The sequence below is a fragment of the Homo sapiens genome, chromosome 13 (genome assembly GCF_000001405.40).
Source record: "Homo sapiens chromosome 13, GRCh38.p14 Primary Assembly".
Classification (NCBI taxonomy): domain Eukaryota; kingdom Metazoa; phylum Chordata; class Mammalia; order Primates; family Hominidae; genus Homo; species Homo sapiens.
Genome location: NC_000013.11, coordinates 107,245,721 through 107,271,502, shown reverse-complemented (window position 1 = coordinate 107,271,502; position 25,782 = coordinate 107,245,721). Strand labels below are relative to the sequence as shown.

General features: G+C 38.2%; 1 protein-coding gene across 1 annotated transcript in view, besides 1 other annotated feature; it reads left to right on the top strand.

The window, feature by feature from the left end:
* The window catches only part of NALF1 (NALCN channel auxiliary factor 1), a 703,987-nt gene that overhangs the window by 595,994 nt on the left and 82,211 nt on the right, over positions 1 to 25,782 (top strand). The window lies entirely within an intron of this gene.
* Positions 11,542 to 12,741: an enhancer, noted in NCBI's record as "CDK7 strongly-dependent group 2 enhancer chr13:107911110-107912309 (GRCh37/hg19 assembly coordinates)". NCBI's record gives its function as "activates an origin of replication core promoter dependent on BRD2, BRD4, P300/CBP, MED14 and CDK7 cofactors, with strong dependence on CDK7, by STARR-seq in HCT116 cells {active_cell/tissue: HCT116}" and the evidence as "EXISTENCE:reporter gene assay evidence [ECO:0000049][PMID:35650434]".

Genomic DNA, 25,782 nt, shown 5'->3' with positions numbered 1-25,782 from the left:
TCAGGCTATTGGAGCAATTCCATTGTCCCTGGCTGTGTCCCAAGTAATTACTTTTCCTTTGCCTGTGGCTGCCAGTGGAGGGCTGCCCTCAGTTTGCAGAGGCCTCCCACATTTCCTGTCTTGTGACTCCTCCATCTTCAAAGGCCAGAACTTCTTACACATCAAATACCACCCCTGCAGGGTTCAACTCTTTCTAACTTCCTCTTCTACTGCCAGCCAGTTGAAACTGGAGTGCGATTAAGTTAGGCCCACCCAGATAATGTCTCTATATTAAGGTCAAATGATTAGTAACTTTAACTACAGCTGCACGATTCCTTTTTTCATGTAATGTTACATAATCTTGAGAGTAACATCAGTGGTAGAGGTCATGGAGCCATCTTAGAATTCTGTCTACTACAAACTACCAAATGAAGAAGAATATTATTATTTCATACATAAGAAATCTGAGACGGATGCTTCAGAACGTACCTAAGAATATACTACTTAAATTTGGCATAGCTGATACTGCCTTTAACATTTCTTTTAAAATCATGGATGAAACTGGAAACCATCATTCTCAGCAAACTATCGCAAGGACAAAAAACCAAACACCGCATATTCTCACTCATAGTTGGGAACTGAACAATGAGAACACATGGACACAGGAAGGGGAACATCACACACCGGGGCCTGTTGTGGGGTGGAGGGAGGGGGGAGGGATAGCATTAGGAGATATACCTAATGCTAAATGACGAGTTAATGGGTGCAGCACACCAACATGGCACATGTATACATATGTAACAAACCTGCACATTGTGCACATGGACCCTAAAACTTAAAGTATAATAATAATAAAAATATATATATATATAACTATCAACAAAGTTTCCAGTTTTCCTTATTTTTATCCTTGACTAAAACCTCACAGAAAATTAATGTAATCAAAATAATTTAGTTTTATATTTAAAGTTATACTTTAATATGAATTTCTATACTGAAAATCACACCTAACATCTTGAAATACCTTTAACTTAATCATTCGTTCACTCTTCTGCTAAATACATAATTTTTATTAACTTCATATTAGTACTTTACTAAGTCCAGGTGGTACATTTACCAAAATATATGCAATATTTTAATGTATTAAAATGTATAGTTTTTCCTATTTTGATCCCCACTTAAAAATTAACATAGTGTATAGTGCATGTATTGCCTTGATAAATGAGATTGCAGTAAAATTGGTCTTTAGGATTTGTTCTTGGAAACCATTAATAATTCAGTTCAAGGAATGATCAAAAGTTTGACATAGAAAATAAATTTTCAATATTCTGAAAAAAGCTTGATTATTCCTGGAATAGAAACTTTTACATTTTGATGGCCTCATATAGGTGGTCAGTTTCAAATAATCCTGCATCATTCACAATTGAAAGTGATGTTATAAGAAACATATTTCTGGCCAGGCGCGGTGGCTCACGCCTGTAATCCCAGCACTTTGGGAGGGCGAGGCGGGCGGATCACGAGGTCAGGAAATCGAGACCATCCTGGCTAACACGGAGAAACTCCGTCTCTACTAAAAATACAAAAAAAAAAAAAAAAAAAAAAAAAAAAAATTAGCCGGGCGTGGTGGTGGGCACCTGTAGTCCCAGCTACTCCAAGGCTGAGGCAGGAGAATGGCGTGAACCCGGGAGGCGGAGCTTGCAAAAAAAAAAAAGAAACATATTTCTTCCTTATATAATAAAACAGAATTGCTTGTAACATCACAAGTGTTCTCCACGTCTCCTCCCTCTCTGGAGGTCTCTGTCCTCTTGGAACTGTTGCCTGACATAGACCAACGATGATCATGACTTTACATCTTTGGGTGACTTGCTGTCATTACCTGTGTAGAGTACAATATAATGGGGAAAAAAGGACACTCTTAGTTGTTCTGTTCTAAATATGACTCTATAAACCATGGGTGATTTGCAACACAGAAATTCACATACAGAAATACAAATAAGTTCAAACCTTGATACAGGACCTATTTTAAAATACTATAAACATATTCATCTCCAAAGCCTTTCCACAATCAATCATACTATCTGATCCCTGGACCCCTGACTTTTTTTCAGGTGTTTCTGGTTATAGTAAATAACATTTACTATCCACTCTGCAAGATATAAATTTATCCAATCAATTACCAACTCCATGTCTTTTGCTTCTTAAAGACCTCCCAAATCTACCCATTTTCCTCCAGCCACATCACCATCATTTTGCTTAGTTCTCGTGAACCCCCCTGACTATTGCTGTAGCTACTAAAGTACTGTACTCCCACCCACAATTTCTCAATTTCTATTTTTTTAAATTCTTTTTTTTTTTTTAAACATAGACAGGGTCTCACTGTGTCTCCCGGGCTGGAGTGCAGTGTGTGATCATAGCTTACTGCAATCTGGACCTCTTGGGTTCAAACCATCCTCCCACCTCAGCCTCCCAAGGACGTGGGACCACAGGCGTGCACCACCACTCCCAGTTTATTCCTGATTTCGAATCCAATTTTCACTCTACACCCAGAGAGATAATAGAAAAACACTCATCTAATCACATTACTATCATCCTTAAAATAAACTACCCTCAGAGAAAAGCAAACAAAATACTTATTATGGTTTTAATGCCCTAAAAAATCTGGCCCTTCAGTTACTCTTGACTACCCTGTTGTTCTCCCTACATTTGGCAAATGAAACTTTTATTCGTGCCTCCAAACACACTGCTTCTTTTGACTGGAATACCGTCCCCTGGACCCTGACTTCTCTTAACCCTCCTAACTTCTAATTCTGGGTCTTAGCTTAAATATGACTTTTTAAAGAATATCATCTAATTCATCAGGATAAATTATTAGTCCCACTTTAATTGAGCTTTTTGTTGAAATAGTTGTAGATTTACATGTAGTTGTAACAATATACAGAGAGATATTACACATCCTTTACCCAGGTTCCTCCAACAGTATTATCTTGCAGAAATATAGTACAATTATCACAACCAGGATACTGACAGTGATACAATCCAAGAATCATATTCGTGTTTCTACTGATTTGTTTGTACTCCTCGAGTATGTGTGTGTGTGTGGGTGTTGTATACAATTTTATCACATAGGTAGCTTTGGGCACAGTAGTCCCCCCTCATCTGTGGTTTCACTTTCCATGAGTTCAGTTACCCTCCATCAACCATGGTCCCAAAATATTGAATCGAAAATTCCAGAAATAGGCTGGGTGCGGTGGCTCACACCTGTAATCCTGGCACTTTGGGAGGCCGAGGCGGCCAGAACATGAGGTCAAGAGATTGAGACCATCCTGGCCAACATGGTAAAACCCAGTCTCTACTAAAAATACAAAAATTAGCTGGGTGTGGTGGTGGTGCATGCCTGTGTTCCCAGTTACTTGGGAGGCGGAGGCAGGAGAATCCCTTGAACCTGGGAAGCGGAGGTTGCAGTGAGCCGAGATCGCGCCACTACTCTCCAGCCTGGTGACAGAGCAAGACTCCATCTCAAAAAAAAAAAAAAAAAAAAAAATTCCAGAAAAAAACAATTCATGTGTTTTAAATTGCTCATCATTCTGAGTAGTGTGATGAAATCTCACATCATCTGGCTCTGTCCTGCCCGAGACGTGAATCCTCCCTTTGTCCGGGCTGTCTATGCTACCAGCCTGTTAGTCGCTTAGTAGCCATCGCGGTTATCAGATCGACTGGTGTGGTGTTGCTGTCTTTGTGTTCAGGTAGTGCTTATTTTACTTAAGAATGGCCCAAAGCACAAGGGTGGAGTGAGGCTGGCATATTGTTATAATTGTTCTACTTTATTATTCATTATTGTTGTTAATCTTTTAAACTTCTTCGTAGGTATGTGTGTACAAGAAGAAAACAGTACATATAGGATTCAGTACCATCTGTGGTTTCAGGCATCCACTGGGGATCCTGGAATGCATCCTTCTCCAATGAGTGGAATACATTTTTTTTAGCATAGACAGGGTCTCTACTGTATATGTGTTTTAACATACACAGGGGACTACTGTATAGACCACCACAGACAACACACAGCGCTCTCGCTATAAAGATTCTTTATGTTGTTTTTTTTTATGGTCATGCCCACCTCCATCTCCTTCCCTCCACCTCCCTGGCAACCTTTCATGTTTCCAATCCCCTTTAGACTCTCTTTTATCAATTTGTACTTCTTACATCACTTTGCTTGACTGTACCTCTTTGGTCCAATTTTATGTGGTATCTACATTCTCACCTAGGCTGTAAGCTTTACATTAACTACTGTATTTCTAGGTTCTGTCATATTGTTAGGTCCAAATACGTGATCAGTGAGCATTTATTGACTGCTTGCTCTATTTTGAGGGAAAACAAAATGCACAAAGCATGGTGGAGGGGAGTCTTGGCCAAGAGCCAAGTGCTTATGGGGAAACTTGAATTGTATACCTGGCCCTACAGTGGAACACTTGACTTGTGGACCTCAGTTAACCCAGGTGTAAAACAAAACAGATGAGAACATGAAGTAACACTGGCTCGGTAAACATCCTGGTGTAGGAAGTTGGGTGGGTTGAGTTCTAGAGACACTACAAGCCAGGCTGTACTGTACATCCCATATCAGAAATGAAGGCATTGCCAGACAGCCCAGCCCATGCTACAGTCATGCATATCTCTGGGAAATACTCATGGTGAACCTAATCTGAAGAAAACTTTGCAGTATTATTGAGCAATAGACAGGAGTTGTGTTAATAATTTGCATAGGTGATTTTGTGCATACTTTTATTTCCTGTGGGTTTTTTTGACCCTAAAAATTGCATTGTGAGGTGCTGGGACTTTGGTCAACCTCTGTGGTGTGCTTTTCCCATAACACTGTACTTCTGTATTCATAGTTTAGATATATAAGTATTTATGTTTGTGTATCCATGTATGTGTGTGTTTATTTATCTACATACACACACGTAGTTATAGGGATCTAATTCTTCTACAGAATGAAGGCCAAAAACAAGAGGGTGGGAAACTTAAGAGTAGTGAGAAAATAACCTAAATAAGAAGAAATGATGCCAAAAAGGAAATGAATGTTTGCGTGACGGTGTGAAACCTTGTCAACAGTACAGGTAGCCATCTATTTTCCAGGTGGGGTGTACACAGAGCACTCAACCTGTGATGAACAACCTTATATCCTTTTGTAGAATAAAAATGTAATTTCATTAATTTTAAATGATAACATAATAGGGATAGGTCTTTATGTAAACAAACCCACAAAACACGTGTATTTCTTACCTGTGCCAAAGTAAACCTGGGACTAGCCAGGTGAGTACACCCATCAGTGTGATAGAAGGAAGCTATCTGAATGGAAAGAAGGAGATTCTCACCACCTTTTCAGCTCGCTTATGCAGTTTGTATGTTACGTCGCCCTGATTGCTGAACCTTGCCTTTTGTTAGATTGCTTTGCAAGAGCATTTAACCTTTATGTCTTCTTTACTGATCTTAGGAATAGAGGCTATAACACTTTATACTATTTTCAGGAAGCTTGAGAGAAGAAACAAGAGAGCATCTGAAATAACTATTTCCCAGCACCTAGAGAAAACGCAAATCATATCCTTTCTATAGTTTTAGACTTTGCCACACAGATGCTACGGTACTGATTTCTTTATGAGATACTTTTTATTTAGTCTATGTTTATATAATTTACTTATGGAAAAAAATGACCAAAAAATTTCAATATATTAATTACATGGGTAAAATTACCTCATATTCATAGACCAAAGTATTGTAAAAATGTCTTTAAATATGTTTCCATTAAAAAACAAAAAAAAAAGTAGGCCAGGCATGGTGGCTCATGGCTGTGATCCCAGCACTTTGGGAGGCCAAGACGGGTGGATCACCTGAGGTCAGGAGTTTGTGACCAGCTTGGCCAACATAGTGAAACCCCATCTCTACTAAAAACACAAAATTAGCCAAGTGTGGTGATGCATGCCTGTAGGGAGACTGAGACAGGAAAATTGCTTGAACCTGGGAGGCTGAGGTTGCAGTGAGCCAAGATCGAGCCACTGCACTCCAGCCTGGGTGACAAAAGTGAAACTCTGTCTAAAAAAATAAATAAATAAAAAATAAAGTCTACAGCATGCCTTAAAATTGTTGTTTAAAGTGAATCTTTACATTTGGCAGTTAAATTAATGTTTTAAAAAATACAGTGAACAAAGGTAATTAAATATTAATAATAACCAAATTCTGTAATATGGCTAGATAAAGAATATTAGAGAAATTTAACAAATCAATGCAGAGAAGACAAGCAACTCAATAGAAAGTTAGAAAAAGTTATGCATAGGCAATTCATGGAAGAAGAGTAATTGGTGAAAAATATATTAAAAAGTTACTTAATCTTGTAATAATCAAATAGCCAGAATCAAAACACTTTGGTAATCAAGTGATTGGCAAAATAAAAAAGGTGGATAACATCTAGCTTTCATAAAGGTGTGTTTGACTACATTTTTCAAAAGGTAAATTGCCTTCTCACATGATGGACAATGTTTAGGAAATCTCTCCTACAGTGATACAAAAACTTTCATGCAAGCCTATTTAGTGCAACAGTGTTTGAAAGAGTGAAAAATCAGGAACTACCTGAATATCCAGTGATCATGGAATGGTTAATTAGATTATGAAGCATGCACGCAGCTATTTAAAATGAACAATGTCAAAGTCCATCAAAGTCTAAAACATCATCAATCCAAAAAGCAAATTAAACAATAGAATAACAGTAATGTAATTCGATGCATATGTTAGAAATGATAAAGGCAAAAACCTGAGTAGCTGCACAGATGCATATAAACACAAATGCACAGGAAAACACCTGGAAAGATAAATATCAAACTATTAATAGTTGTTCCTTCTAAGGCAAGGGGTCGAAACTGATGTTGGGTTGCGGTGAAGGTTGCTGCAAAGGGCACTTTGTTCCTTTTTTTTCCTCACATATACCCCTATATTTCTGACCAAACAATTTTTAGTGAAGATGAAATTATGTTCTCTTTGTGTAATTAACAAATAAAAGAAAGACACATTCCTCCCTTTATGGTAAATTGTATAAAGTTTACACAATAGCAGTAGCTATGAAGGAGAGCAAAACAAAACAACCCATATTCCCTCACCTCATATGCTTTTCCCAATGGCTTTCTGATAGAAGTTAGTTAATTCAGTCTTTAAAACAAACATGCTGAGAAACAAATCATTTCTGTATATAAACCAATGATTATAAACCAGTTTTGTTAATTAATTGCTTACATAAAATGACCATGATAATTATTAAGTTGGCAATATAATTGATAAAAAATTTAATTTGCCACAATTGAAAAGATTCTATGAAGTCATAATGGAAAATAAAAATTATAACACAAAAATAATGACCTCATTCTCACACTGGGGGATTTGAATATCACGAATGGAGAAAAAGATTTAAAGACACATTCTTCTTTTTAAAATATTTGTATCTGAATCTACCAGATGTACTCTTTGCATTAATCAAATTAAAGCTGGCCACAATTCCATAAGGCCGGGTGAACCATGTTCCAACACAACCAAAAGATTGGCATCAGCTATTGCTGTGAGGTAGCTGTGTGTATCAATTAGGCAGAGGGAAAATTTGAGTTTATCCAACATGTTTTTAATCTAGGAAAAGGGCCTAGGATAATTTTCCTAGGAAAGAGATATAATTGGATGGGTTGTACAGACCATTGTCTTAGTCCATTTTCACACTGCTGATGAAGACATACCTTAGACTGGGTAATTTATAAAGGAAAAGAGGTTTAATGGACTCACAGTTCCACATGGCTGGGGAGGCATCACAATCATGGTGGAAGGTAAAAGGCACGTCTTACACGGTGGCGGGCAAAGAGAGAATGAGAACCAAATGAAAGGGATTTCCCCTTATAAAACCATCAGATCTCATGAGACTTATTCACTACCATGAGAAAAGTATGGGGGAACTGCCCCCATGATTCAGTTATCTCCCACTGGGTCTCTTCCACAACATGTGGGAATTAGGGGAGCTACAATTCAAGATGAGATTTCGGTGGGGCCACAGCCAAACCGTATCAACCATTAATAAATAAATTGGTTATAGTGGCCATAAAAATATGTGGTCACCTGCATGCTCAGAAACTTCAGTGAATCAAAATGCTTTCTGTAATAATCAAGCAAAGATTCATTTCATAGACACATCAACTGTGAGTCCACTGAGATGTGTGTGTGTGTGTGTGTGTGTGTGTGTGTGTGTGTGTGTGTCTGTTAGCATTTTGTGGGGTGTTGGGAGCCTACACATTTATACACAAAGAATTGAGCCCTGCTGCTGGGTTAAAAAGGAGTTCCCCTAGGGTGACCAATGATCTTGGTCAGGAACAGACTGAAGGGTTTCAAGGGATGCAGTACTTTTCCAAAGTCTCTGGCAAGTCCCTGGCAAGCCAGGACAGATGGTCACCAAAACCCCTCAACTCTTCCTCACCTTTGCTACCCATTAAAGGTCCTTGCTCCTACTATTAAACATTTAAAGGTACAGCCCTGAATCATTCCTATACACGCAACGAGTCTGTGATTCTCTTTGTTAACCAAATACTCACACACTGGGAACCATGTGCATACGTTACAATTATGGCAAACATTGTAAAGTGACTTTTCACCTTGATTTCCATGATCTGTTTTGGTCCCCATGTACAATGAAGTGATGTTGCTTAAGAATGAGAGAGAGAGAGAGAGAGAGAGAGAGAGCGCCTGTGGGTTATGCAACTTAATATGGTTCCATGGGATGTCTTTCACCCTGATAATATTGGGGAAAAAATGGAGCATCTATCCCATCAGGTAGCCTATTTGATGTATTTGTATTAACAGTGCTTATTCTTATCATAAGTTACATTTCTGCATGTGTGTAAAGAAATCATGTTTTCTGAGGGAAATGATTGTTTTTGTGCCTATAACACATACATTTTGGAAGTGAATTAACTCTTCCAGAGAAACAGATACGTGGAGATGACTATTGTTTTGGTTTGATGTATAGTATAAGCATCGTCCAACATCGTCCAAAAGAAATGCTGCAGCTTCCATATGCTTTTTTGTTTGTTTTTTTGAGACAGAGTTTTGCTCTGTCATTCAGGTTGGAGTGTAGCAGCGTGATCTCAGCTCACTGCAACCTCCGCCTCCTGGGTTCAAGTGATCCTCCTGTCTCAGCCTCCTGAGTAGCTGGGACAACAGGCACATGCTACCACCCCTGGCTAATTTTTGTATTTTTGGTAAAGATGGGGTTTCACTATGTTGGCCAGGCTGGTTTAGAACTCTTAATTTCAGGTGATCCACCCACCTCGATGTCCCAAAATGCTAGGATTACAGGTATGAGCCACCATGCCTGGCCTTCCATATGCTGTTCATGATAGCTTGTTTTACTTGTTACAATATGTAGAAGCATGCTGAATTTTATTTATTCATTTATTTATTTATTTGGATCTTAAGCCTGTACACAATTTCAGAAATAGCAAATAAATTAATTAATGTGATTTGTTGCCCCTGATATATTTCCATACCTGGATACTCTTGAAATGGAGGATGCGGGAGAGGCGGGGAGAGACAAGTCCTTATGCCTATAAACCTGTGCCTTGAAATTTCCAAATTGGAACTGCAATAGTAAAGATTCCTTTCTAATATATTTATTTTATTAGTTTGATAATGAAATTAGTGATTTATTTGCTCAAGTAACTGGAAATCTAGAGGCAGGTTCATCTCTAGGGTCAGCTTAATCAGTGGCTACTGCCCCTGTTCTCTGTATCTTCTGCCATTTTCTCAGTGTGACTTCAATATGTGTTGGTTTCATTCACAGGCTGCCTACCCCCAGATGATAAAACACTCTCAGCAGGTCCTGCACATCATGCTGTCCATAAAAATAGAGAGAGAAGCCCACTCTTCCAGACTCCCCAGCAGTAGTTCGGAGATTTACCTGATTGTACCATTTTGGTCCTATGAGTACCCTTGAACTTGACCATCATCAGGATTTGAGGACGGGGGCAGCTTCTCCCAAAGTACATGAGTCAGATTGTAGAGCAAAATTAAAATCATTGCTGATGGGATAGGGGAGGAGAAGAATGGCCACGCAGCCAACAGCATTCATCGAGGGAACTGAGGTCACATGTGATGTGGCAGGATCCAGGGATGGGACTGGAGGTTGGAAGGTGCATGGGCGTGGAGATGGGATGGAGGGAAGGTACACAGTGTGGAGTAAGAGCAGAGGGAAGGTAAAATGAGAGAGAGATTTCTATCTAATTCCACCCTGATGTCACCTGCCTCCTTCCCCTGGGAACCTCAGACAGCAGGACTGTAAGTTTAAAACATTTGTATTTATTTACTTTTTAATTTTACCCATGAATTAGCTCAGATAGGTTAACTACTCTAACAAACCAGTCCAAAATTTTAGTGGCTTCGCACAATAAACTCTTCCATTCAATGCAGGGCAGGTGACCTTCTCCTAAGAAGTGATTCAGGAACCCAGGCTCCAATAAGCCCGTGGAGATAACCATCTTCGAAATGTGACAGAAAAGAAAAGAAGAGAGGATCGTGCATGGGAAAATTTTACAGCCCAGACTTGGAAGAGAAGCATGTTAACGTCATTTGCATTCCATCGGCTAGAACCCAGGCTTATAGAACTCCTTAACTCCTTAACCCTGGGTAATGTGGTTAAATTAGAACCCTGGAAGAAAGGAGAAAACAGAGCTAGCCACACACTGCTGTCAGCCACAGATAGCTAGCATGTGTAATTTCAGAAAATCATGGTTGTCCAGGTCATCTGACTTCAGAATCAGGATTTTTAAAATGTAAGGACAATGAGGAGAGAAGGAACATTTTCATGACCTGCTAAGTTATCCTAAATAAGCCAATACATCAGTCTGTTTACAAAGCATCACTGCTTCCATGTTAAATTAAGGAATGGAAGAAACAGAGCTGGAAAATCAGAGTGGGGGATTTTATTATAACACAAATTCATGAGTGCTCTGAAAATCAAAACTCTGCTAGCGAGTTGCACTGAAGTTGAAAAAGTTCATGTTTTAACAGAACATTGCCCATATCAAATAATCTTACCTGACTTTCAAAATGTGACAGTACTGTATTTCCAACATGCAGGGTCTGTGTTACAAATGATGGCAGCTCATCAAAAGAAGACAACCGTTTTAAACCTCAGTCTTCTGGAGTGCATTTGCAACCATTCACAGCAGACAGTTTCACAGAACTAGTTATTGGCTATATGCAACAATGTTAACGATGACTTCATCCCGAGTATCTTAACTAATTATCCCTAATTTAACTGGAGTCTGTGGGATGCTTAGATATAGGTTTAGTCATGAACATGACAACCCGACTTCATTTTAACTTCTACTCCTATCTTAGCTTATGTATATGATGCAGTACAAAGACCCAGATTCAGTTCTATATTCTTGATTAAACTTTCCATGTCTCTTCCATGTTTCAGAGCTATGCCTCTCTTCAAATACCACTAATTTATTCATGAAGAAAATCTTTATTGAGTTGCTATCAAGTACCAAGTAATGACAGTAAAGCAGAGAGTGAAATAGACATAGTGCTTGCTCTCATGGAGTGTAGAGCTGTGGATTTCATTGTTAAATATGTGATTTGGTATGTAAATGATACTTTCAAACCTCTTGAAGATGAGGAGTATTGTTCGCTTTCAAGTAGCTGCTGTACTGTCTGCATGGACTATCTACTACTCATAGGTGCTAAGTGAGAAACTAGTCAGTTGGTTATTAAGTTCAGATAACTATATATGCCTCCTCTACCTTAATAAAAACATTGGAAACCATTTGAAAGCAGGTAACTGCAACTAATTTTACTTCTGGTAGTAACTATTGTGAATTGACTTGTCATTTTTGACTCTTCTACTGATTTGTTCATTCCCTTTTCTATGACAAGTCTAGGCCTAGACTAATGTCAGACAAAAGAAACTCATGCATTCACTCACTCACTCCAGCAATGTCCTCATGCCTCTCAATGTCCTGTGGGCATGATAGCAGGCTCAGGGGACAGACAAATCTGCAAGACCCCAGAGGCTCAGTGACAGATCTTGAGGACATTGTACACAGCATTTGCGGTTTTTCCTGATCTCTGACCTACAAAAGCCAGAGGATCCAGCGCAGAAATTCAATGAATTCAGTTCTTCAGTGATAGATCCCTGGGACTCCTGATTACCAGGTAAAGTTATAGAAAATAGTTATTGAAGATCCGTTACTTGTAAGACACTCTGCTTGGCAAAGATGAATAAAGAAAAAGACTTTACATCAAAAAGTTTATCAGCTTATGGAGGAAAAGGGGAAAAGGCACACGTGGCCAGGAGCAGCTCAGAAGCATAGGGCACACTTTCCCCTGATGCAGAAAGGAAATCCTGGGGTTATAGAAGTTCAGGGGAGATGTAATCGTGGAAATGTAATGAAGGAAAGATTTCCTTAAACATGTGACAATCAATGAGTCATATACATGGTATATGAGTCTGTTCTCCCATTGCTATAAAGAAATACCTGGGCAGGGCGCAGTGGCTCACGCCTGTCATAGGGAGCCACACATCCTGTTTCATCATGAGCATACTTCAAGTATTGAAAGGCAGCTTAGAGTTCTTTCTGTGTCTGTGCCATCTAAACATCCTCAATTCCTTAAGCCTTTCATAAACATGTTTCATCTAAACATCCTCAATTCCTTAAGCCTTTCATAAACATGTTTCCTTTTGTAGGCCACTCATCATTCTAGTCTTCCTGCTTTTGGAAGCTTTTTTATTTTGTCAATATAGGATAAGAAAGGAGCTCAGTACTCTTCGTGCAATGTCGTTAGTGCCAAGATCACTGCAGCATATTGGCTTCTGCATCACCGTGATGGATTATATCAAGCTTATCTAGTTAGCTGTGGGTAAATACATAACATTTCATGTATTTACACAGTTAGGTTGTGGGCTGGGGAAGGGACTTTTTGCTTAGCCTAATTAAATTTTGTGATTGTAGATTTGACCAATCTTACCAACTAATTATGAACTTTTGACTCAGAGGCCATTACCTCTCTCTAGCTGCAGGAACGGGATATGGCAATGTAAACGTTGTGTTTTATCTTAGATTTCAAATGTGTCGTGGAGGCAATATGAGTTAGATCCTTCATTGTAAAAACAAAACGATGTTCATTTTGCTTGAAATACAGATTTAGCAATCTAAAATTAACAATAAAATATAAAAATAATGCCCACATTTATGTCATTAGAAGTTATTAAAATATCATCTAATTTCTATTGATTTTACCTATAATCAGATACATGGAGATGTATGGAGATGACCAATAAGGTCAGAACAAAATTTGCTTTGCGGTCTTTTGCCATTACCAAATGAGAGGGTACATTGTTTCCCAAAAGTATATTCTATGTGAAGCAAATTATCTTCTCCCAAAGCTACTCCCATTCAATATGAACTGGACTGGACTCACTTATATATTTGTTTACTGTTTATATAAAATGTGACCTTTCACTATTTATTAATTGCAACAGAAGCCTATTTCACTATGTAAAGGAGCTCTGCAACTTGCTAAATACTTCTAGCGAAGCATGAGTTGCTGAGAGCTGAATTCTCCCTCTTATTCTACTCCTGGTAGGAGAAAGACTTGCAGAGGCCACAGGAAAGCTCTGAAGCTCTCCAAAGTGCTGCATCACCACCCCCCATCCCCTACCTCCCACCACCATCACAGTCCCTACAGTCCTCCAAAGCCAGCCTTTCTGTGGTCACATGACTCACAGGCAATGGTTTGCTCTGCAGAAACACCTGCACATGCCTGGCCACCTCAGGGCCTCCAGTGATGGGAAATGGGTCGCTGACCTCTTCACAGATAGGAGAGTTCCCTACCACAGTTTCTCAAGATCAAGGAGAGATACCCATTTCAATGATTCTCTGAGGGCCCTTAAAACTATCCCAGAGTTTCTTCTAGAGCCTAGATGATATCAAATTCAAAGCAGAAAAAAAAAAAAAGCAGAAGAAACAATTTTGAAGCCTCATTAGTGCTCAGGATAGCTCTTTTACACACTCATATTTTCTCCAAATATTAAGAATATGTTAGATGGATCAAGTATTCTAAATTCCCTATTATTAGTTAAATGACTTTATGCCCCATGGGAGGAGAGATCACAGTAGTCACAACGGTCTTATTCCTACCAAATCCTGTGGTATGAATACATAAATGGTTAACAACTAACATGGTTCGGCTCTGTGTCCCCACCCAAATCTCATCTCGAATTGTAATCCCCACATGTCAAGGGAGGGAGGTGACTGGCTCATGGAGGTGGTTTCCCCATGCCATTCTTGTGACAGGGAGTAAGTTCTCATGAAATCTGATGGTTTTGTAAGGGGTTCTTCCCCCTTCTGTCTCTCTGTCTCTCTTGTGGCCTTGTGAAGAAGGTGCCTGCCTCCCCTTCCGCCGTAATTTTAAGTTTCCTGAGGCCTCCCCAGCCATGTGGAATGGTGAGTCAATTAAACCTCTTTTCTTGATAAATTCCCTAGTCTCAGGGAAGTTCTTTATAACAGTGTGAAAACAGACTAATACAACAACAGACTTAGATGCATCCCTAAGCTTAGTATACATTTTACTGATATGAAGGATGTGTAGCATGCACTTTACAAAAATAGAAATATACAATAATCTTTATGGTTAATTCCATATTGTCCATTGATTTTCATGGATGCTTTTGCTGATTCTTGCAAACTCCTATATCTGTAGTCAAACCGTAGTTGCAACTGACAAACAAGGATAGTTGCAACTGACAAACAAGGGTAGTCCCAACTTTTATTGGTTGTTATTTTCAGTTACATTAACAAGTAAGAAGAAAATGAAGCATTGAAGATATGTATTAAAACTTTACTCATTTGTCAAGTCAATGATATCAGCAAATTCTTTCCCAAATTAGGTGATGGTTTTTGAATACTGGAGGAAGATTTCCTCATTTGTCATGCTACTCAAATTGTAACAGCTACATATATGAAGCACTTTTTAATTTAATGTGGTTTATTGACATTTTCTCCATCACTTAAAGATTAGACGGTCAACAAAATCATAAGTCAAGCCCTGATCTATATTTTTTTGCCAGTTTCTGTGGTGTAAATACTCCCGTTATGGCTGACTTCAAGCTCCTTATGTGGCATCACTGAACACAGGGTTAGGAAGAGAGGCACAGCAGCGTGCTGTTATGTAGTACTTCCACTGTACAGCAATGCCTAGTGGAATAAATCTCAAGAGCGCAGACAGCAGTACAACAAAGTACAATAATTAGGAAGCAATGTGATTTACATATTTATCTTTGTTTTTAATATAATCTAAATTTATATAATTTAACTTTTAATAACGTCTGTTTTCAACAACTAGTTTGAAAAATTCATTAAAATTTAAAAATGGGCTTTCTGGAGCCGGGATGAGTAGGCTCTGAATATCCCTGTTGTGAGTAAGCATATTTTGGTACTGAACATATATTATCAAATAATGTTCATTATCATTGCTTTTGTTGATATCCAATTTCTCCAAGTTCTTAACATATTAATAATACCTTCCTATGTTAGATAACCAATAAATGTGTTCATCCATTGATAAGATTCTACCTTCCTTTATTAAAAGACAATAAAGAAATGCAATTAAAGGGTTGGCTTCAGAACAGACAAAACTGAGTTCAGATTTTTGGCTCTGTCACTTACTAGACAAACAGACCTTTCAACAGTGCCCAAGTTGCCTCAGATTATTAAATTGTAATAATAATAACAACATTAAAGGCTGTTATGAGCATTTGTGAGCATTAGATACTGTATATAATGTATATACTTGGTATATGTTGAGAACATGATAAATGTTAATTACTGTACATTGTGGATTAGTCCTCTCCATTCGTTTATATCAAAATGGACTTTCTTTATCTATAAAACGGATTGATTATCCTTGCTCCTTCCAAACCCGGTAAGGATGTCAGCCAAGAACTCAACAAGGTTGTGAATGTTACTCTGTAACTTGGAGAGGGCAGGGTCCGGCTGTTAATTTGGGACTTATTTTATGCAGCATCCTCAGCAGTCACAGAGACATTAAATACAGACCCACACTGTAATTTAAAAGGGGTTATTTCAGTATTAGAAGATACTAAAACATAAAGAGATGAATAGAAAGAAAGACACAAAGGAACTTTCTTGTGGAAAATGAAGGAAGACAAAAACCTTCTGCCAATAAAGGAACAAAGAGGTAGCAAAGCGGGAAGCAGTCGATTGTGTTTTCTGCCAGCACACTGCCACTCAGGCTGAGGATATGCAACCCATGAGAGAGCTGTCTATCTGTCCTGCTTTAAAATGGGAATGGCAGGTCTGTAAGTGAAATGGACACATGTTTCCCATGTACCACTTATGATCCTTTTTTCTATGGGGTAGGAAATTGTAAGGGGTATTTGTAAAGTCCCTGCAAGTGAGAAAATTAAGATATTTTGAATACATCCTGAGTTTAACAATCTTATATTGTTTAAAAAATAAACATCTTTGAAAGGAAAGATGAAGTAAATATGGCCTTCCATAGGTTCAGTGATGTTTACTTACCACTACTGTGTGTTTTCCTTGAGTGAGTATAATTAAGCTGGGTGTTTTAGGGCTGTAAGTCAATGGGCTAATAGCAATAGCTGTAGTTATAGCATTTGCCTGACTGAATTATACAACAAAAATATGATTTCCCCAAATTCTAATTGCACTGGGGATGTTGACATCAGTAGTAATGAAAAAGAGGTTTTGTCATGATGACAAGCGTCTGAAGGAAAAGTCTTGTGTAGGTTATGTCATACCACATTCCTTAGGTGGTTTATTTACCCAGGGCAAGGCTTACAAGTGGGCAGATACCAAATATTTGGTGATTCTGAGGACACTTCTCTACAAGCATCAGTGAGCCTGGACAGCTGTGGTAGGGGCTATAGAAATGACCATTCCCCACTCCAAGAGTGCTTTGTGGACTATGGTGTCGGAAACATTCACTATCCCTTTGCAACTACTTTCCTTCCTCTATCCCCACTGTGGAACACGAACAAAGTTCCTCCAGCCCTGCAGATCGTGCCATCTCCATGCAATGTCCAGTGCCAAATTTAAGTCTCATTTCTCACAAAATGCTGTTCAGTATGGCGTAAGGCTGAGCGTGCGTGCTTTCCACCCAACAACCAGAGTTGAAATTCTGACTATTAATTCCTAGCTGTTACCGTGGCAAGTTAATGCTGTTGATCTCTGTTCTGTAAAGTGAAGATGACAACTTCTTGCTCACAGGACAACTGTGAAGATTCAGTGAGTTGGAGCGCATAAAAAGTCCAATGTCTTGCCTGTGTGTAATTGGCCTGCAATGATTGTTAACTCATTTTATTCATGGAAAGCTCCTGTGTGCTTAATATATATATATATATTTTAGTACTTGCTCCCTTAAACATCTGTTATAAAAGAGAACTACTTTGTCACTGGGGGTGTCATGGCGACCAAAGTGTTTGCCATCATAAAGCTCATATTCTAATGGGAGAGACACAACACACAAGTAAGTCCATGATTACATCGTACAACAACTGGTAGTGATCTAAGCGATGACGGCTGCAGAGTGACAGTGTGAGGTGTTGAGAGGAAAGGCCCTCTGAAGAGGTGCCATTTGAGCAGAAGTTAATGACGTGAAGATCCGGGAGAGGAACAGATGAGGTGAAGGGTGGCATGCACAAAGGTACTGAGTCAGGAACAAGCTTGGGGTATTCACAGAGATGCGAGAAGACCCGTGTGGCTGGAGAAACAAATACAAGGTAGAGAGGAACGGGAGGTTAAGTTAGATAAATAGGCAGGAGTTGTGCTGAGGAGTTGGTGCTGAATAAGCCCAGCTTGTTATAGGCCTTGCTATAGAATTAATCTTTCAGAAGTATGCGACCTGAATTCCATCATGTAAACAAGTGTGAGAGATGCTGAGGACACGGAGAGGACTTTCCCCAGCTCAATGTGGCACATAGGCACTCACTAGAGGGAGCAAGGTGGCCTTCTGCTGGGGGTGAGGGGTCTCCCCAGGAGATGGGAGCATCTAAAAAGCAGTCCCAGTGTTGCCTGCTGCCAAGAGGACAGGGAATCAATCACTGAGTGTTTCTGAGTTTATGGGCAATGCATTTAGGAAAGACCTCCTGGCCATCTAGCTTGTTACTTTGTAGACATACTTTGGGGCTCCAAAAACAAAGTTATCACTTGATGAATGGAAATAAGAAATAACTCTGAAAGTATATAAGAAGGAACAAGGAAAGAAGGGATTACTGCAAAAAAAAAAAAAAAGAAAGAAGTCCCAGTATTTCAGATCTTCACAAGTATGAATTGATTCAAATTTGCTTTTTGTAAAATAAAAGGTTGACTATTATTTAAATTTACATTTCATACTCACTAATATTTTACAGAATACTTCTTTTCATAACTATGTCATTAAATAATAGAAATGTAAAAAGAAAATGTGTTATTTTGGGGTAATCTATTAAGTTTGACAAGGACAACGAAGTATGAAATTGTACATTATAATATTCTTCTAAGTGATATTAAAATATGTATAATGTTCAAAGATAACATTTTCTACTATACCTTCCCTGATGTTCACTGTCTTTGTGCTTTTAACTGCTTATACACATGCCTTTTGGGCTTTAAGAACAGGTGTCTGCAGTAAGTTTGAGATATATTTAGAAAATAATATTGTTTATATTGTTTAAAGTGGGATGAAAGTAGTAACAGTAACAACAAACCTAACCGTGGTCCCACCTGGCATTCCTGCCCTTGTCTAATCTCTTTCCCCCACCCCGAGTGTGGACTGGCCTTAGTGATTCACTTGCAAGGAATTAGAATACAGTAGAAGTAATGGCATGCACCTGTGGAGGTGAGGCTATGAAAGCAGCTTCCAGAGTGGGCTCACTCTCTCCTTCCTTCTCTGTCTTCTGTCTCCTTCTTTCTTTTTCCCCTTCCCTCCTCCTTCCTTCTCCTCTCTCTCTTTCTCTCTTTCTCCTCTCTGTGTCTGTCCCTCTCTTTCTCCTTTCCTCTCTCCTCTCTTTATTCTCCCCTCTCTATCTTTCTCTCTCCCTCTCTCTCCTCTTTTTCTCTCTCCCTCCTGTTTCCCACCACCTGTCCCAGGAGAAGCAACTCTCCACGTTGTGAGCCTCTCCATGAAGAGGCCCGTGTGCTGTGGCCGGGAACCGTGACTCTTTGCCAACAGCTCATAGGAATTGAGGCCTCTTCATCCAGCAAACTGTGACAAACTGACACCTTCCAGCAATCACACCACGTGACTGGGCTTGGAGGTGGGTGTTTCTCCAGGAGTGACACCAAGCCCACCTCCCACTACCTCGCCAGGCCTCCCATGCCCAGTGGGGGTGGTAGAGGCTCCACTTCCACCAGGCCCTCCCAGGGCCTCCTGCCCTCTCCCACTGCCAGAGTCCCCCTCTGCATGCTGGGCTTTCTCCAGGGCTTTTTGGTTTTAGGAAGGAGGACTTGGGGTCAGGGGACACTCTGTAGGCAGACTCAGACACCCTTCTCTGCTTTTCTCCATAGCATGTGACATTACCACTTTAAATACTAGTTTTGAAAAATCAGACTATAAAATAATAAAGATATTACTAAGAAATAAAAATCTCCACATTCCAAGCTCCATTCTTTAACAGGCATATGTGATCTCACTTTTCTTTCAAAATCCAACTGTGTAATACCCACTTAAACATGGCTAGGAAAAGGCCCTCTTGGTAGCAGAATACAAATAAATCCATTTATCCTCCTGACATAGCTAACTTGCACTGTGTCCATTACTCCATCTTCTTTGACTTTTCCATAACAGAATTCTGCACTCCCCTACCTTCAGCTAAGAGTTCTCTTTGAAGCTACATCAAAGTTTATAACCTCTCCTTGCCACCCGTCTCCGAGGCTTCAGCCTGTGGGATGTAGCTGTAGGCAGGGGCTTCTCTCTTTAATGAGACACTGAGTCATCACTGGCGAAGGCAGCAAGTCCACAGCAGCTGTAAAAAAAGCACAATCTTCTCTTCACCTTTTACCAAATTCGTGTCTTTTAAAACTGAGACAAAAATGGAAATTTTCATCTTGTAAAATTCTGCTAAGTCTGTGGCTTCTTGTCTCATCTGCCAGAAATGTGACTTTTGTGGACTTTCTGAGTTTGTGCTTTCAGAATTCACTCCATCTAATAATGAGGGGGAAATAGAGGCGTCTGGTCTTAACAACTGCTCTTAACTGACTTGGGGAGGAAAATCTTGCCTGTTTTATTTTTTCTGATTAACATAGCTAAATATACAGCAGTTCCTGGTTTGTTTTTGAATGGTCACTCTACACAGTCTACAAAGTGGTAAATATGTAGGCATGCCAATATTAACATATGCAGGTATATTAGTCTGTTCTCACACTGCTATAAAGAACTACCTGAGACTGGGTAGTTCATAAAGAAAGGAGGTTTAGTTGGCTCACGGTTCTGCAGACTGTATAGTAGGCATGGCTGGGGAGGCCTCAGGAAACTTACAATCATGACAGAAGATGAAGGAGAAGCAGGTACATACTACATGGCTGGGAGCAGGAGGAAGAGAGTGAAGGGGGAGGTGCTACACATTTTCAAACAACCAGCGAGAACTTACTCACTATGCCAAGAATAGCAAGGGGGAAGTCTGACCCCATGATCCAATCACTTCCCACTAGGCCCCTCCTCCAACACTGGGAATTACAAATGGACATGAGTTTGGGCAGAGACACAAATCCAAACCATATCAGTAGGGTATAGTTAGAGAGAGTTTAATGCCATACTGTTTATTAGAGAAGACTCAGCTCTACCAATGCGCCGAAACTGATGAAGAATATATTTTGCATTTTCCTATCCTCTCTGAAAATTACAGCAAAGAAGTTAATGAAAATAAAATATATGCATAATATTTCTATCACATATCTCTATCATCCAGTGTTACTGTAATTCAAACCACCATTAAAGTCCTGTGTGAGAAATAAGATATGATCATCAACTTTCTTTTGGCAGGCTCTTCTCTAATACCTTTGTTTAAAAAAAAAATTAATAATTCATGTCACTATAGCTGAGGGCAATATTTTGAATACTTCTTTTGTGAATACAAGCATAGTAAGTAACTTTTTGGTTAATAATATAAAATAGTTTCTAGTTAATTTCAATTATGTAGAAATATTTTTCCTATGGTATTTTTGTTTCAGTGAAAATATCTCTCAAATAAACAGATAATGTGGTTTCTGGTGTATAACTAGCATTGCATGTAATTCTAATTTGGAGCCCCAGTAGTGGTGAAGAATTTATGTCGTCTGTACTTCTGAACCCTGGCTGCATATTAATATTAACTAGGGAACTTGGGAAAAAAAAAAACACCAGTGGCTCAACCTCTAAATCAGTTGATTTAGAGAATCAACAGATTCTCTAAAACCCCTAGAGAATCTGTTTTAATTGCTCTGATTAGGAGACAACACATTATTTTATTTTAAAACTCATCAAGTGATACTAAGGAAGGTTGAGGACCATGGTTGAGAATGAGTGATTTGTACTAATTGTATACTAATTGACTGCGTGTCCCTTAAAGCCTGGTGCATGTTTTTACAAAGTGATTAATTGATAGTCAACATAAAAATCAAAACTGTTAGGTTAATTAACAAACACCATTCCAAAAGAAAATCTTATAGAACAAAAATGTTTCAACAACACCTAAAAGACATTTTGATTTACTAATGATGTGTTTTATGAAAGAGAGATGCTGGAGGGAAGGAAGGAAGTTAGAGTACAAAATAAAAGTTCAATTATCTATGTCATAGTGAAAATGACATAGTGAAATAGTTTTGGCCATCTCTCTACATCTGTACTCAAAATTAATAAGAGTTTGCCACCCTTCAGGGTGGCTCTTGATTACCTGAGTTCATTTTATACAAAGATACCCAACCTACGGTCACTCACTAAATATTTTTGGCTTCATAAAGTTGATATTTTCATTAGAATAAAAACATCACTTCGTGTAGACAATTTCCTGGCATTTTCTTTTGCAATTTTATTTGTCTGAACTTTGGAGACCATTTGAGATGTAAGTTTTTGAGATAATGTTGTTTTTGTATTCTTCTAGATCCATTCAACAATGAGAAAATAAGATTTTCAAGAAACTACTTAATGTAGATTTCCTCGCTATAAATCATCACAATAATCTAAGTACAAAACTGTGACTGAATGCAAAATTATCTCCCTATCATATCTTTATTAAAATTATTAAAATCTCAAAGAATAAATTTTGCTTTGATAGTAATCTGAATAATTTTCTGCCATTTTTCCAAATGATTTTAAATGTAGTAGAAATCTTCCTCTGAGTAGGCTGGAGATGAAGGGGAAGAATGCAGATTCTGGAATCAGGAAATGTTCTGACATTTCAACTTGTCCCATGTCATTACTGTTTTTTTTAGTACATGTTTTAGAGTCTACACAACATATATATATGTTGTGTATATACATATATATATGTGTGTGTACAAATATATATATATGTTATCTTAAATCAACTCTCCAGAAATTTTTTTTGAATTGTCTGTATTGTACTGTTTATTCATATCCATCATTATTCACTTAGAAATTGCCTATTTCTGAACTCTGTATTATGAGAATAAAAGGCTGTACCTTAATCCATATACTCAAAATTTGTATATTATCAAAATGTTCCATTAAATTCTAGAAAATACTACCCATTAGAAGTTTCTGTGGGGATAAAAATGTTCTGTGTCTGTGCTGTCCAATATTAACACAGTGGCTATCAAAAATTTGAAATGTGGCTGGTACAACTGAGGAACTGAATTTTACATTTGAATTAATCTGAATTTAAATTTAAAAAGCCACATGTGGCTACTGGCTACCATACTAGATGATACAGTTCCAAGAAAAAAATTGCTATTAACTTAAGCTTTACTGTTAACCTTTCTTTAGGCCACAGGGAATTTTGGAAGTTTTGACTTGCTAAATTTTTGCAAGAATTTAGGTTTATGAATGGATTACTTTCAGGTGTTGTTTACAATACCAACAGTAAGCCATAAGCAGTTGGATAACTAAACCAGCAATACCTCAGCAGGAATGATAGGTTCTAACCTGAATTCTATGCCTGGAATTTTTGCTACAGAGAACACCTGGATGTGGTACAGTGAAAGCGTTTGCCTAAAATTTCCTTCCAAATTTCAACGATTACCTGGGCCTTTTCTCCTTTTTTTTTGCCCTATGACGATCTCCTTTGCTGTTCCCTCTAAAGAACTCACATTCTATTGTCTTCTTGTCCTCTTTTTTCTTTGCCTTTCTAAATAATGTTTCTCCCTCATTCATTGCTGCTACAGCAGAGTGGTGATAACATTGTGATAATGATCATGCACTTGGGGTAGGACACCTTTCTTTCCCAGGTGCATAACTCTCCTGCCAATGTGAGTATCTTCCAAGATGCTTGATCATTGTTGGTGCTCTTGGCTTTGCTTTTCACGTCTTTGCTAAGCCACCATAATGCGCTAAACTTGAGCAAAATGCCCCAGATGTGACCTCTCCAGACACTGCATAATGAAAACTGATTTATATTCAGCTCGTTTCTATGTTATGGAAGTCAGACAGATTGAGCCAATAGAGGGGTTTTGTTGTTATTATTTGTTTCTGCTTCTGTGAATTCAAAATCCCAAAGTCATTTTTTAATATCCATGCTTTCCCTTCTACTATCCTAATCTCATTTTATCATCATTACTTTCTGTTTGCTACATTGAATTAATTAAATTTCCTTTCAGTCCAAATAACAGATATCCCCATGTGTCCCTTAAGATGTAGAAAGCTCTTTCAAGTATATGTGATTCAAGTGTACATTTAACTTGTAACCTCAGCGTATAATATTTTTCCCTCCTATTTGAGAAAGCTCATATTTTTTCCCACTAAACATCTTTTTGCTAAGGATTTTTAAAAGTTGCCTTTATATTAGAATTTCTACAGAATGACTAAATTGCATTGTTCTTTCTCATGCGCTTTGGTCATATATACAAATCAAACCCCTTTGGGGTGTATCATCAAAAACACTGATTATTCATATCTGTCAAGATAATGCAAGCACACAGATTTTGTCATCTTTCCAGGAATTTTGTTCTAATAGAGGATACTAGACACATTTTTAAAATAAATGGATTTTTATTCTTGACTCTTAAAATTTGCCCTTGTCAATGTTAAGGAAGATAAAGGAATCCATGCTTAGGGTAACTGGTAATATTTTGCCAATATGTATGTCAACAAATAGATTATTTTTCACTGTTGCATTTCCATCTATTTTTTCTCCTTTATGTTAATCCAAAGTGATAAAAAGGCCAAGCTAATTAAAATACAAATTGGGTGAGAAGAATTTTTTCCCTGGCTAGTAAATGTTCAGTTGCAACCCTGAGTAAATTTTTACAGATGAGAAATAAATCCTTACAAATAGGTCTTGTAATGGAAACACTAGAATTTCTCAAATAAAAGTACTCCAATGGAAACCATTGTTAACGTGTGACCCAACTGTGATAGAGATGCATTTTTAATCCAGAAAATTACCACTTAATTAGTTGTTTATTATAATTTTGAAAAGTATCATTGAAAGATGAAATTCTCCCCTTTCCTCTTTTCTATGTCCAAACATAAGTATGATGTTTGGCAATTTATCATAAAAAACAATCCTCAATGTGGCATATTTATTTGAGAGCAAATATAAACTATAATTTTCTTTTGTTTAAATAGGCTTGTTCGTTTTCATATTTTCAGTGGCAAAAAGCTCTGGCAGAATCATTCTGAATAGAAAAATGTTCTTGATCAAATCACAATCTTCAGCTAATACTAATCAAAGTATTTAAACAGGATTGAACTGCATCTTTGAGGATATATCAGGAGAATGCTGTGTGGCCTCTCACCCTGCTCTGAAAAACAGAAAAAGACTTTTTTTAAAAATCGATCTTCTTAGAAGGAGGGAGTGAAGAAGATGAAATAATAAAATTACTCTACGTTCCTTAACAGGGTTTCAAGCTTTAGCTTTAGCTTATAATACTCTAGCAGGAGTCTAAGTCTATCTGTTTTGTTCTCTTCATGAAAAAAGATTGTTAAATATAATAAAATCACAACTTAATAACTATTGAGATAAAATGTAAAGAAATGGCTGTATGATGTGAACTGAATATAAGACAGAAAGGAGCTGGGCCTTGAAGGGTGCAGAAAATGATTTTGTTGTTGTTATCGTTGTAAGGAAAACTTACCCCTGAAAATTTGTAAGAAAATATTTTATATTTACCCCTGATGCTTATCTTATAATTAAATCAAAAGTACACAGATGAAGAATATGCAAAATGCTCTGGGTTTCAGGAACCTCATTGTGCAGAATGAGATAGAGGAGGGTGGGCGGAGAGAGAGGAGGACGCTTGGGTACCTGCGAAGCCAGCAGAGATGACAAGATGAGTTGATTTGTGGAGAAAGGTAGTGTACTCTTATCTTACAGGTGCTGAGTGTTAAGTTGGAGGTAGGGGTGGGGTGCTCATTCAGGAGGAACCATGCACACTCCATTCAGGATGTGGGGCCAGATCTCAGTAGAATCACAGTATTAGAAAGAGATGTAGGAATTTGGGAGTCATCTACAGTGAAGTGACAAATCTCTTTCAATGGTGAATGGGTGCTTAATTTGGGCTGAATATAAAAAAAAAGAAATCCCTTATTTTAATATTTTTGAAAGAAAGT